Source organism: Homo sapiens, chromosome 2 (assembly GCF_000001405.40).
Source record: "Homo sapiens chromosome 2, GRCh38.p14 Primary Assembly".
Taxonomy (NCBI): domain Eukaryota; kingdom Metazoa; phylum Chordata; class Mammalia; order Primates; family Hominidae; genus Homo; species Homo sapiens.
This window is the reverse complement of record NC_000002.12, coordinates 95389128-95400263: the sequence shown is the minus strand read 5'-3', so window position 1 is coordinate 95400263 and position 11136 is coordinate 95389128. Positions and strand designations below refer to the sequence as shown.

The 11136-nt window shown below is 50.8% G+C and overlaps 1 long non-coding RNA gene across 1 annotated transcript, besides 1 other annotated feature; it reads left to right on the top strand.

Moving 5' to 3' along the window:
• Positions 2246-2745: an enhancer, noted in NCBI's record as "H3K4me1 hESC enhancer chr2:96063267-96063766 (GRCh37/hg19 assembly coordinates)". NCBI's record gives its function as "activates a minimal SCP1, AML or CMV promoter by ChIP-STARR-seq in primed H9 embryonic stem cells {active_cell/tissue: H9 hESC(primed)}" and the evidence as "EXISTENCE:reporter gene assay evidence [ECO:0000049][PMID:30033119]".
• On the top strand, positions 9372-10237 carry LOC124907858 (uncharacterized). The gene is made up of 2 exons (XR_007087140.1): positions 9372-9675; positions 10006-10237. It is a non-coding gene; the product is annotated as an uncharacterized LOC124907858 (long non-coding RNA).
• The last annotated feature ends 899 nt before the right edge of the window (positions 10238-11136 follow it).

The following is an 11136-nucleotide window of genomic DNA, read 5'->3' as shown; positions in this document are numbered from 1 at the left end:
CATAACAGTTCTTTCTAGCCACGTTTACGCCTCCCTATACAAGATCAGCCCTTTGCCTAACCTCTGAGACACTTGCAGATCATATGGGAAGCCTGCGAGTGGCCGCACTGCAACGTTTCCCTATTGCAATGGTCACCCCCACAACAATCCTTTGGAATAAATTCGCTCCTTATATAATCCAGATTTGTTTTTTTGTTTTATAGTAATTACCTGAGAAATTTAAAAAAAATGCTTATGCAATGGCTTATACAGAAATGTTCACAGCAGCCTTTTTACAAAATCCCCAAACTGGAAACAACTCAATTTTTCATTAACAGGTGAATGTGTAAACACTCTGTTATAGCCACACTAGGGAATACTACCCAGCAATGAAAAGGGACAAATTGTTGATGCAACATGGATATATATCAAGATAATTATTCAGAGTGAAAAAGAGATTAAAAATGAGTACATATGGAATTATTTCATTTGTATAGAGTATCCTTGGGGGGTACTTTCCAAGACCCCTAGAGGACGCCTGAAACTGCAGATAGTACCAAACCCTACATCTGCTACGTCTTTTCCTATATATACATGCCAGTGATCAAATTTAATCCAGATGAAGTTAACCTGGTGCTACACGGTTGCTGTTCAATCAGAATATGTTTCTGTTCACGTCTTCCACCCACAAATCTAATGCCTTTTCCATCCTAACTAAGTGCTTCTCACACACTGTAGCCATAACTTTTGCAGTTTGAGGTGCGACAGCAAAACTGGCACAAATTTCTTTTTCCTTCTTCACAATTTCATGGATAGAAGATTCGTTCTTTCTGTAGCTCTTAGCAACCTCATTATGTGATTTTTGTTTTATTTCCTTAAGTCAGGAGCGTTCCCATAAAGGAAGGCTTCTCTTTGGCATATCGGAAATGCCGACACCACTCCCCTTTTGCTCTGGGGCCATTATGAAGTCAGATGATGGTGCCTTGCACAGAAGCACTGCGGTACCACGACAGTGGATCTAATCACGGAGCCAGCTCATTGGTGACTAAGGGGCAAGGAGGGCAGACGTCATGGAAAAGCTGAACAGAGGAATGATTCTTGTCCCAGGTAGGATGGAGCAGGACAGTGCAGGATTTCATCACAGTACACAGAGCAGCACACAATTTAAAACTTATGAATTGCTTATTGCTGCAATTTTCCAGTTAATATTTTTGGGCCATGGATGACCTTGAGTAACTGAAATTTCAGAAAGCAAAACCATGGATAAGAAGGGACTACAGGCCAGGCGTGGTGGCTCACACCTGAATTCCCAGCACTTTGGGAGGCCAAGGCGGGTGGATCACGAGGTCAAGAGATCGAGACCATCCTGGCTAACACGGTGAAACCCTGTCTCTACTAAATATACAAAAAGTTAGCCAAGCGTGGTGGCGGGCACCTGTGGTCCCCGCTACTTGGGAGGCTGAGGCAGGAGAATGGCGTGAACCCAGGAGGTGGAGCTTGCAGTGAGCCGAGATTGCGCCACTGCACTCCACCCTGGGCAACAGAGCGAGACTCCATCTCAAAAAAAAAAAAAAAAAAAAGAAGGGGCTACAGTACACTAGAAATGCAAATGAATGTGTAGTGACAGGAAACAGGCCAGTGGTTGTTTGGGTGTAGACACCTCCTTGGAGAAACTGCTTGTACCTAGGACAAGAGATGGTGGAGAGCTGGACAAATCCAGGGTTGTAAAACAGAGATCATAAGACTGATGGAATGGAGTCTTTGTGGCTTATAAATTATGAAATTATAAATAAGACTAAGGCCATGCCAGGCAAAAGTCACATACCCCTACACTAAAATAATAAATGTTCTAACTTACCAATTGTCAGATGCTAACTGATGCCCCCAGACTCCAGACTCCATTCCACAAAGCATAACTACAGGTTTGATTGAACAAGAGACTGACTTCAGTAATTTTCTCCTGATAAGACACCACTGACCATGGGCTGGTTCTGGCCAGTTTATAGAGGCTGCGCACTGAGTACCTTTGTGTTCTTTTTTTTTTAAGGCAGACCTGGCTCTGTTGCCCAGGCTGGAGTACAGTGGCATGATGCTGACTCACTGCAACCTCTGCCTCCTGGGCTCAAGCCATCCTCCCACCTTGGCCTCCCAAGTAGCTGGGACCACAGGCACACACCACTGCACCTGGCTAATGTTCTTCTACCTTTTGACCTATAGAGCCTAATTTTAGGCATTTAATGTTATGTTTCCACCCCAAAGTGAACATGGGTTGTATGCAACACACAGGATTATTCAGTTGCATGTGTTAGGATCCCCTCATAAATATTCATAAGGGTCTCATAACTTACTGAATATGTATGTATAGTTCCTGTCTTTGGGCATACACCTCAGCCTCTCCGCTTTTTCCTCTGAAGTGCCTGCTTTTGGTTTCTGCTAAAGGCCACGTTTCCCCACCTGTGGGATGTCCATCCTGCAGGTGGCAACCCTTTCTAAGAGATAAAGCTCTCCTGGCTAAATTTCTACATTTTGTGACTTTTTCCATTGACAATGTGGCTGAATAATCAAAGGGGAAATAAAAGCTTTTGAACCCTGCTTTCTCTATGGCCACCCTTATGATGTGGGTTGGTTTTGCCATGAATTCTTTGTCACTGCCTCAATGCACGCCCAGCCCCACAGGCGGCTTGCTCCTCTCTCTGCCTCACCCTCGCTCTGGTTGGTAACTCGCATGTTTAACAGAGAAAACAGAAGCCCTCACTTGGGGTGAATGCCCTCCATTTCCTACTCCCATGCCCTCAGACCCTCCACACCGGCACCTGCCATGTGCTAGCCCCGCTGATGAGGAACGACCCCTTTCCAGGCCTCAAGTCCTGTGCAGGAGCCCCTGCACCTTGGTTGCCTTACACTGAGAATTACCCCGTATTCCTCTTGAGCAGGGCTCTGCCTCTTCTGCACGTCCTTCCCCCATGCTCAGATCTCTCTATCTTAAACAAAACCAAGCAAAACTCTTCTTTGGCCCCACTTCCCTCCAGCTGCCCCTCCCACATCGCTCACCAACCTTCCTTGGAAAGTCTCCTACAGGAGCTTAATTCCCATATGAATCTTCGCTTTGATTTCCTTGTCTCCCATTCATTCCTCATTCATCCTGATCTGACCTTTGCCCCCATCCTTCCACTGAAACAAGTCTTACTTAAGTCCCCAGTGATTTCCATGGTGCTAAGACCAAAAGACACTTTTGTTGTTGTTGTTGTTGTTGAGATGGAGTCTCGCTCTGTCACCCAGGCTGGAGTGCAGTGGCGCGATCTCAGCTCACTGCAACCTCCGCCTCTGGGTTCAAGCGATTCTCCTGCCTCAGCCTCCTAAGTAGCTGGGACTACAGGGGCACCCACCACCATGCCCGGCTCAAAAGACACTTTTTATCATTACCTCTAAGCACTCTTGGCCTCTCTGGGCCATTTCCCTGTGCTTTAAATACTGCCTTCCCATGGCTTCCCAGCAGAGGTGACTGGTTGCCCTCCAGTATTCTTTCTTTCCCTCTTCCTCAGCAGTAAAACACCATTTATTTGCTAGATATGTGGCTGCATAGAATAGAGAGATTCATTTCTCAGTCATGCTTTGAGGCTACATGAGACCATGAGAGTTAGTCTGGTTAGCAAGATCTAAATAGAAAAGTTTGGGAGTTAAAGGAATTATTTAAAAAGAATCCGCAGTCCCTTACTCTTCACCCTTCTTTCTTTCTGCTGGCTGAAATGTGAATGTGATGGCTGGAGCATGAAGGGCCATCTCTGGCCTTGAGGTGACAGGTTACCGGAGCTAGGAGCTGGATCCCTGAGGATTGTTGAGCTGCCAAACCAATGCCAAACAATGCTCTGTTGGCCTTTTATGCAAGAGAGAAAAAACAAATCTATGGTTTTAAAAGCTACTATTATTCTGGATCCCTGTTACTTGCAGCCAAACATAGTCTCTATTGATAGGTCTTCCATCATATCACATTGTCTTGAATTTTCCTCCTCTATCTCAGTCATTTTTCAGACTCACTCTCCTCCATCCAACCTATAAATGTTGCTGCCTCTCAAAGCACGGTACTTATGTCTCTTCTCACTCAGTAGGATCCCTCAGGCCACATTTTCACAACATCAACTACAGGCTTGATGGTTTAGTTGCCACGTACAGAAAGAAGACTCACATGTGTCCATCTCCATAAACTCAGCTGTTTATTGGACACTTTCATTTTGATGTCTCAAAGGCACCACAAGCTCAACATGAACTCATGATTTTTCCACATCAAATGTGGTCCTCTTCTGTATCTCAGAGGATGTCATGGCATCCTCTGACCATCCACCTGGGCAGACCCCAAGCCAGAATTCAGTCTTTGCCGTTTCCCCACGTCATTCCCATTTGCATCTTCACATCCTGGCAACTTTACCTCCCCACATCATCTGAACCAATAGACTTCCCACCATCCAGGCCAAGACGCTATTTGACCCTGCTGGCTGCACTCCCACTATGGCCTCTGTGGTGATTTAAAAACATGTCCTCAAATTATTTGACATGTCTTCCATGTCCATTGCCTTTATTGCGGGCGGAACCTAGCAATTCACTTCTGACAAGTAGAGTATGGGGGAAGGACCCTGCATTCCTTCCACAGCTAGCCTGTCAGCCTGCTTGGCTGCTGCAAAAAGTACCATAGCCTGGGGGGCTTAAACAGCAGCAATTTGTCACCTCAGTTCTGGAGGCCAGGAGTCTGAGATCATAGTGTCGGTGGGCTGGGTTCTTCTGAGGCCTTTCTCCTTGGCTTACAGGTGGCTGTCTCCTGGCTGCCTCTGCACATGGTTGTCCCTCTGTGCACACATGGCACTTGTGTCTCTTTATGTGTCCTAATTTCCTCTCCTTATAAGGATGCCAATCAGGTTGGATTAGTGCCCACCCTAGAGCCCTCATTTTAATTGCATTACCTCTTTAAAGGCGCTATCACCAAATCCAGTCACATTCTGAGGTACTGGGGTTAGGACTTCAACATGTGGATGAGGAGAGGGCACAATCCAGTTCATCACAACTAGGTTCTAATCAGTGACCCAGCTGCCTCCTGGCTCTCAGGACAGTGCATCAGTCTAGGTCTGATCAGGAGAGAGAAATCACACAGGGATTGGAACAGACTGAGTTTAATACAGGGAAGTAGCAACTATGACAGGGGATTGGAGCCATGAGGGATAGGCTGGTAACAAGTAAAGAGAACTCTAAGGACTAAGGAAGAACTAGATATAAGGAGCAGCCAAGTTGGGCGTGGTGTTTTATGCCTGTAATACCAGCCCTTTGCAGGCCAAGGCAGGAAGATCTCGTGGGCCCAGGAGTTTGAGACCAGCCTGGGCGACATAGTGAGACCCTGTCTCTACAATAAAAAATAAAAAAATTAGCCAGCCATGGTGGTGTGCATCTGTGGTTGCAGCTACTCAGAAGGCTGAGCTGGGAGGATTACTTGAGGCAGGGAGATTGAGGCTGCAGTGAGCCATGATCACGCCACTGTACTCCAGCCTGGGGTACAGAGGGAGACCCTGTCTCAAAAAAAAAAAAAAAAAAAGCAGCCAAACTCCTAAGATACAAGGAAGCACCCAAGGAAGAAGCTCCCACCCCACAGACCATGAGAGCCAGATCTCGCTGGAGACGGCAGACAGGATGCTGTAGTTTTACACTGGTGAAACTCGCTGGAATCTTGCATCTATTGTAGCAACCATATTTCCCTTGGAACCAAATTTTCCCCTTGGTCATCAGGACCCATCGCTGCAGCCACTGGATCGACCCATCGCTGCAGCCACTGGATCAACCCTCTTGTTTTGCCTGTTGATTCAGTGGCATAAGGAACCCAACATGACCAGGAAGCAGTCTTAACTTCTCTGTCTCCTGGGGGAAGCACTGTCCCTTTGAGTACTAATATCTCCAAGCCAGCAGAGCTCAAAGTGGCCAGGACAAGAAACAAAACTGCTGTAAGTGAGGTTATTAGATGTACTCGTGAGAGAAGCACTCCCGCTTCTTATAGTCCATAGACGATGCTGGGCAGGGAAGTTGAAACCCTCTAGAATATGTGTCCTATCGGGGAAAACCTCTGCCTCTTCCATGATGGAGGAGGTCCAGTGTAATCAACCTGACACCAGGTGGCTGGCCAGTTTCCATGGGGAATGGTGCCATAGCAGGGACTTGACATTGGTCTCTGTTGTTGGCTGACTGAGTCTGAGCAGTAGCGTCAGCCAGGTCCACCTTGAGAAGGGGAAATCCACATAGTTGAGACCATGCATAGACCCCATTCCTGCCACCATACTTTCCGCCATCTCTTACTCCAGACAGCCAAATATACTGCTTAAAGTTCTATCTAATGGGAGGACTTCCTTCACCACTGCCCTTCAGAGTCATCCCTGAGTGGGGCTGCCATGTGCAGTTTGTCACTTTTGGGTGGTATAGGCCGATTGTACAGATCCATTAGTAAGTCTTGCTTGAGTTTCTTCTTCCTCAGTAAACTGATCCTAAAGAACATGCAGAAAGCCATAGGCAGGGATGGAGGGAGAGGAAGCAATGCAACTGAACTTGCCATCAAAAGAACCTGAGCCACCTGCTCCTGCAGCTTAGCTATCCCCTCCCCACTGCCTGAGCTCCAGCTCTTATCTGCCACTACCACTTGATGGCACGTCCAGCTTATGACTAGGTGGGTCAGACAATACAGATTGTTTTAGGAAGCTCAGGCCATGTGGTCGCCTGACAGCCCATGGTTAGGTTTTCAGTCTTTACCAAAGCCCAACAGCAAAGCAAGAGGCTGTTTCTCAAAATAAGAGTGATTGTCTCCAGGAGACGGTTTAGACTGGCTCCACAATCCTAGCAGTCCAGCTGTGATGGTTCTATTAGTGCCTTCCAGAGGCTCCACAGCTCATGCCTATTGGCCATGAACACTCCAACTATCAATTGACTTCTGCCTCAGCTGCTATCTAATTGCAATCGGCTTGAGAGACCGTGCCAAGAATCACCTAGTGGGCCCAGTCAAGCCCCGGCCTTGTGACATGTGATAAAGCTCAGTGGCTATGTGGCAATAGCTAAACAGAATAGCCTCCTCTCTGGTTTCTCTGCATCCACTCGGGTCCTTTCCAATCTGGTGTCCATGTTTCAGTCAGAGTGGGGTTTTCAAACACCAATTTAATTTAATACTCCTCAGTGGCTCTGTGCTGCTCTCAGGCTGAGGCCAACACCTTCAGGGTGGCTCTGCCCTGTGGGCCTCTCCCATTTCCCCAGCATTTGTGCCTGGGATCTGGCCACAGCCCCTGGCAGTGCTGTCTCCCTTCCATCCCTCACCCCTTTCCCCAGCCCCTTCCTCCTCATCCTGCAAGCTGGGCTCAAAGGCTGCTCCCTGGTGGAGCACCCAGGTCATGGCGCCTGGCCCAAAGCTCTCATCAAACCATAGGCCTCATCTTCCTGATCATGACATCGGGTGTAAATTTATACTTTTCATAGGATTTAATTTATTAACGTCTTGTCTCTGAAAAAGTATAGGCTCCACCAGGGAAGGCTTTGCAGGTATTCTGCTATTTTATCCCCATTCCCTGGCACAGTGCTGGGTGCACAACTTATTTTTTGTTGGTTTTTGTTTCAATGAATGAAGCAATGGGCAGACGGGGGATCGGGTGGGATAGATGGGATAGATGGTTGTCCCTGCCAAACAGTGTCTTGTCGCTTTTTCCACATCTGCAGGGGCAGCAGGAATGGGGCCCTGGAGTGGGCAGGGAATGGGGTGGGGGCACGGTGGGGGTGAAAGGAGGAGACCAGTGATTCTTCTCCTCTGGGGCCCATTTGCTCTGCCCAGAACACACTTCTACCTACTTGGGAAGTTTTCTGCTGGGAAAGTTTGTCAACAAAGCAAGAAACTTGCGGATTTCTAAATCCTGGTTGGCTGTCAGGAAATAACGGATGCCTGGCTCCTTGGGGCCTTATTTTTAGTTTCTGGATGTTTTACTGTATTTAGTGATTTTTCAAAACTGGGAAAAAGTGCCACCTGGCGTCACATGCTGTGTTCCTGGGTTGGGACACAGCCAGGAGAGCTCGGGAGAGGAAAGTACATGGAGGAGGGGCTGGGCTGGGGTGGGTGCCCAGGCTGAGGCCCTCCAGTGCAGGCAGCCTGCCAGCAGATATATCTCTAAGAGCCTTCAACCCTGGTGTAACCCCACAGCTGGCCTCACGACCCCAAAGGCTCAGGGCCCTGTGCCTGGCCCCTCCCTGGGAGCCCTGCCAGGGCCTCCCTCCCTGTGACCTTCACTTCAGCAGCACTGGCTGAGTCTTGCCTCCCCACTGGCTCGCATAAGTGAATAGTCCAGCGATTGGAAGGAGGTGGCTTCAGGTGCAGTTGCAGGGCTGATGCTCTCCCAGGTTTTGTTTCCTCTCAGTGAGGACTTCCCTTGCTGGCTTCCTTCCATGGCTCCTCACAGTGACAAAATGGCAGCAACAGCTCCAGGACTCACACCTTTGCAGCTTCAGAGATGGGGGAGGAGGGAGCATCTTTCCCAGCCTTCCCAGCAAAGGTCTCCCTGGGCCTTAATGACGATAATCAGGTCATGTGCCCGCCCCTCCACCAATCACTATGACCCGAGGGGGGCAATGCACCCAGTGGCTTAGGCCTGGCCTTGCTCTTTTTTCCTTGGAGGTGAGGGCTGACTCCAAGGCTTCATGGATGGAGAATGGAGGAGGGGTCCCCCAGTGAGACTGGGGGCTACTGGCAGTAGAAGAGGGAGGAGGCTGGGGAGGCAGAAGAGTGGTGCTCGGTCAGGAGACCTTCCTCCTTGCCCTCATGGTGCCCAAGGCCACAAGCAAGAGAGAAGTTCCTGGGGGCCTTTTATCTCAGGCAGAGGGATGGGGTAGACATAGATCCTTTATCCGTGGAGGGTTTGATTATGTTCAAAGCTGGTCAAGAGCTGAACAGAGGGAGCTCTGTGCACGGGTCAAAGAGCAGGAGCAAAGGCAGGTATGGCTGGGCCTGGTGAGCTCCAGAGAAGCCGGGTTTCCTGCTTGAGGAACAGAGAGAACAGAAAGGTGCGCAGGGCTGGCATGGAGCCCAGTGCTAAGACTGATGGCCCTCGGTGGCCAGGCAGCAGTCGGGTGGGGGTGGGCAGGGGAGGCAATGGTGGTCCACTGAGTGCTGCCACCACCACTTAAAGATGGCTGCACTCTGGCGCTGTGCAGGAGGAGGCTGACTCCCTTCCAGGGCCACACAGGGCCTTCCTGACAGGTCCCCGCCCGCTACACAGCCCCTTCGCCAGGACCTCTCAGCTCTGGCCAAAGGCGAACAAGACCCGTATGTTCCCCTTCTAGATCCATGAGATGTTTGAGTGGCGGGGGTGTGGGTGGGGTGGGGAGAGTTTCTTCCTGGTACCATCTTGGCCTCACACAGGCATGAGGTTACTCCTGGCCATGCTGGCTCTGTCACCGGCCCTCAGATCCCCTTCCCTGTGAAGCAGGGCCCCACCTCTCCCCAGCCCCCAACTCTCTTTCCCAATCTCTGACCCCTGTGAAGCTCACCTTGCAGGGAGCTGGACTCTGCACATTCCCTTGGCAATCAGGTGGCTGGGACAAAGTCCAGGCCACCGCAGCTGGCCCACACATGACCAGTGATTTCCTCTCCAGGAATGCCCAGCCTTTGGTAGGCCCCTAACCCAAGGGGCTGGGACCCAGGTGAGAGGGCCAGAGGGCTGGGGGAGGGCCCAGTACCTACTTTGGGCTGGCAGCAGTGCCTCTGGACTTGGGGGCTTGTCTGGGACACAGAAGGTTGATGAGGGCAATGAACAGATCAAAGAACCACCTTTGGAGGAGGGCAGAACTGGGTCAGAGAGGTCCTCCACAGTAGGTGTCAAAGCCTTACTCACTCTAGACAACTCCGCCTGGAATGCGTCTGCCAGAAAGTCAGGGCAGGTGATGGGGATCAAAGGCTCCACAGTGATCTGAACACATGGGAGACATGTCCCACACCAAGGAAGGTTCTGCTCACTCCTATTCTATTCACAGTTCTAGGGGATGTATGTGCCATCCATCGCATCCCCACAAGTGCAATCTCCAGCCTGTGCCCTGAGGTCACTTCCCGCATCACCCCATCACCATCAGGGCCTGTTCTCACTGCCTTCTGCTGTCCCCACAAGACTTGAATTTCCTGACAGCAGGAACTGCGGCCTCTTCCGTGTGGACTCAAGATGCAACTGTGCCCTGTGTGTGGAAGGTGTTTAATAAATGGAGAATGGCACCTGCCTTGCCTAGAGCTGGGAACACAGCGCTTGGAAGGCGTGGGGAGTGAAGGTCAAAGCCTCGCCCGAAGCAAAGACGCAATGATTAGGCTCAGGGAGGGCGAAGCACTGTGCAGCCTCGGGAGCCTGGGAGGTGGCTGTGAACTTGAAGGACGGTGTTGGTGTTCCTGAGGGTTCGGGGCCACGGGGCACAGGTTAGGGACCACAGAGTCCCTAGAGAGTGCAGAAACGTCTCCACCTCCCTGGGGCAGGCCGTGGTCCTGCCAAAGTCCAGGTCTGTGAGCCTCATTTATCTGCAAGGGTCTCCTTCCGTGGGCTCCTGGAAGGCCGCTGTCTCCTGCCTTCCGGACCCGACAGGGGCCTGTGAAGGGTGTGAGTGGGGTTCGCAAGCTGTCTTCGGTCCGGTCCGGAAAGCCTAGCGGGTCACGTGCAGGCTTCTTAGGAGCGCCCCGGGGAATTAGGCCGGGGCACGCGTCATGCCTGTCCCCAGCACCCAGCTTGGTGCACTCGGTGCGCTCGTTACTTGATACATTCAGTTTTGGGGGCAAACCATGTGGAGAGTGAGGCAGAAATAGGAACGTGTATTTGGGGCTGTGAAGGAAATGACAAGCTCCCTCCAAGGAGCTTCCTCGGGCCGAAGGACTGAAGGAGCTGGAGGCCGCGGTGGGGCCCAGTCGCCCCCTGGCGGTCAGTGGGGGACGCAGCACTCGAACGCCTCACTCCTGTCTCCTGCGAAATCTCTCCTGCAGCCGAGAAGCCTGGGACCTTCTAAACCCGAGCGGCCAATTCTCTGGAAAGCTGTGCTACAGGGCACAACGGGGAGGGTGTGGGCACGCTGGCCACCGTCTCTGGACCCGCCTTTCCCACCCTACGCTGTCGAGAGGGCCCTTGTTGGGGT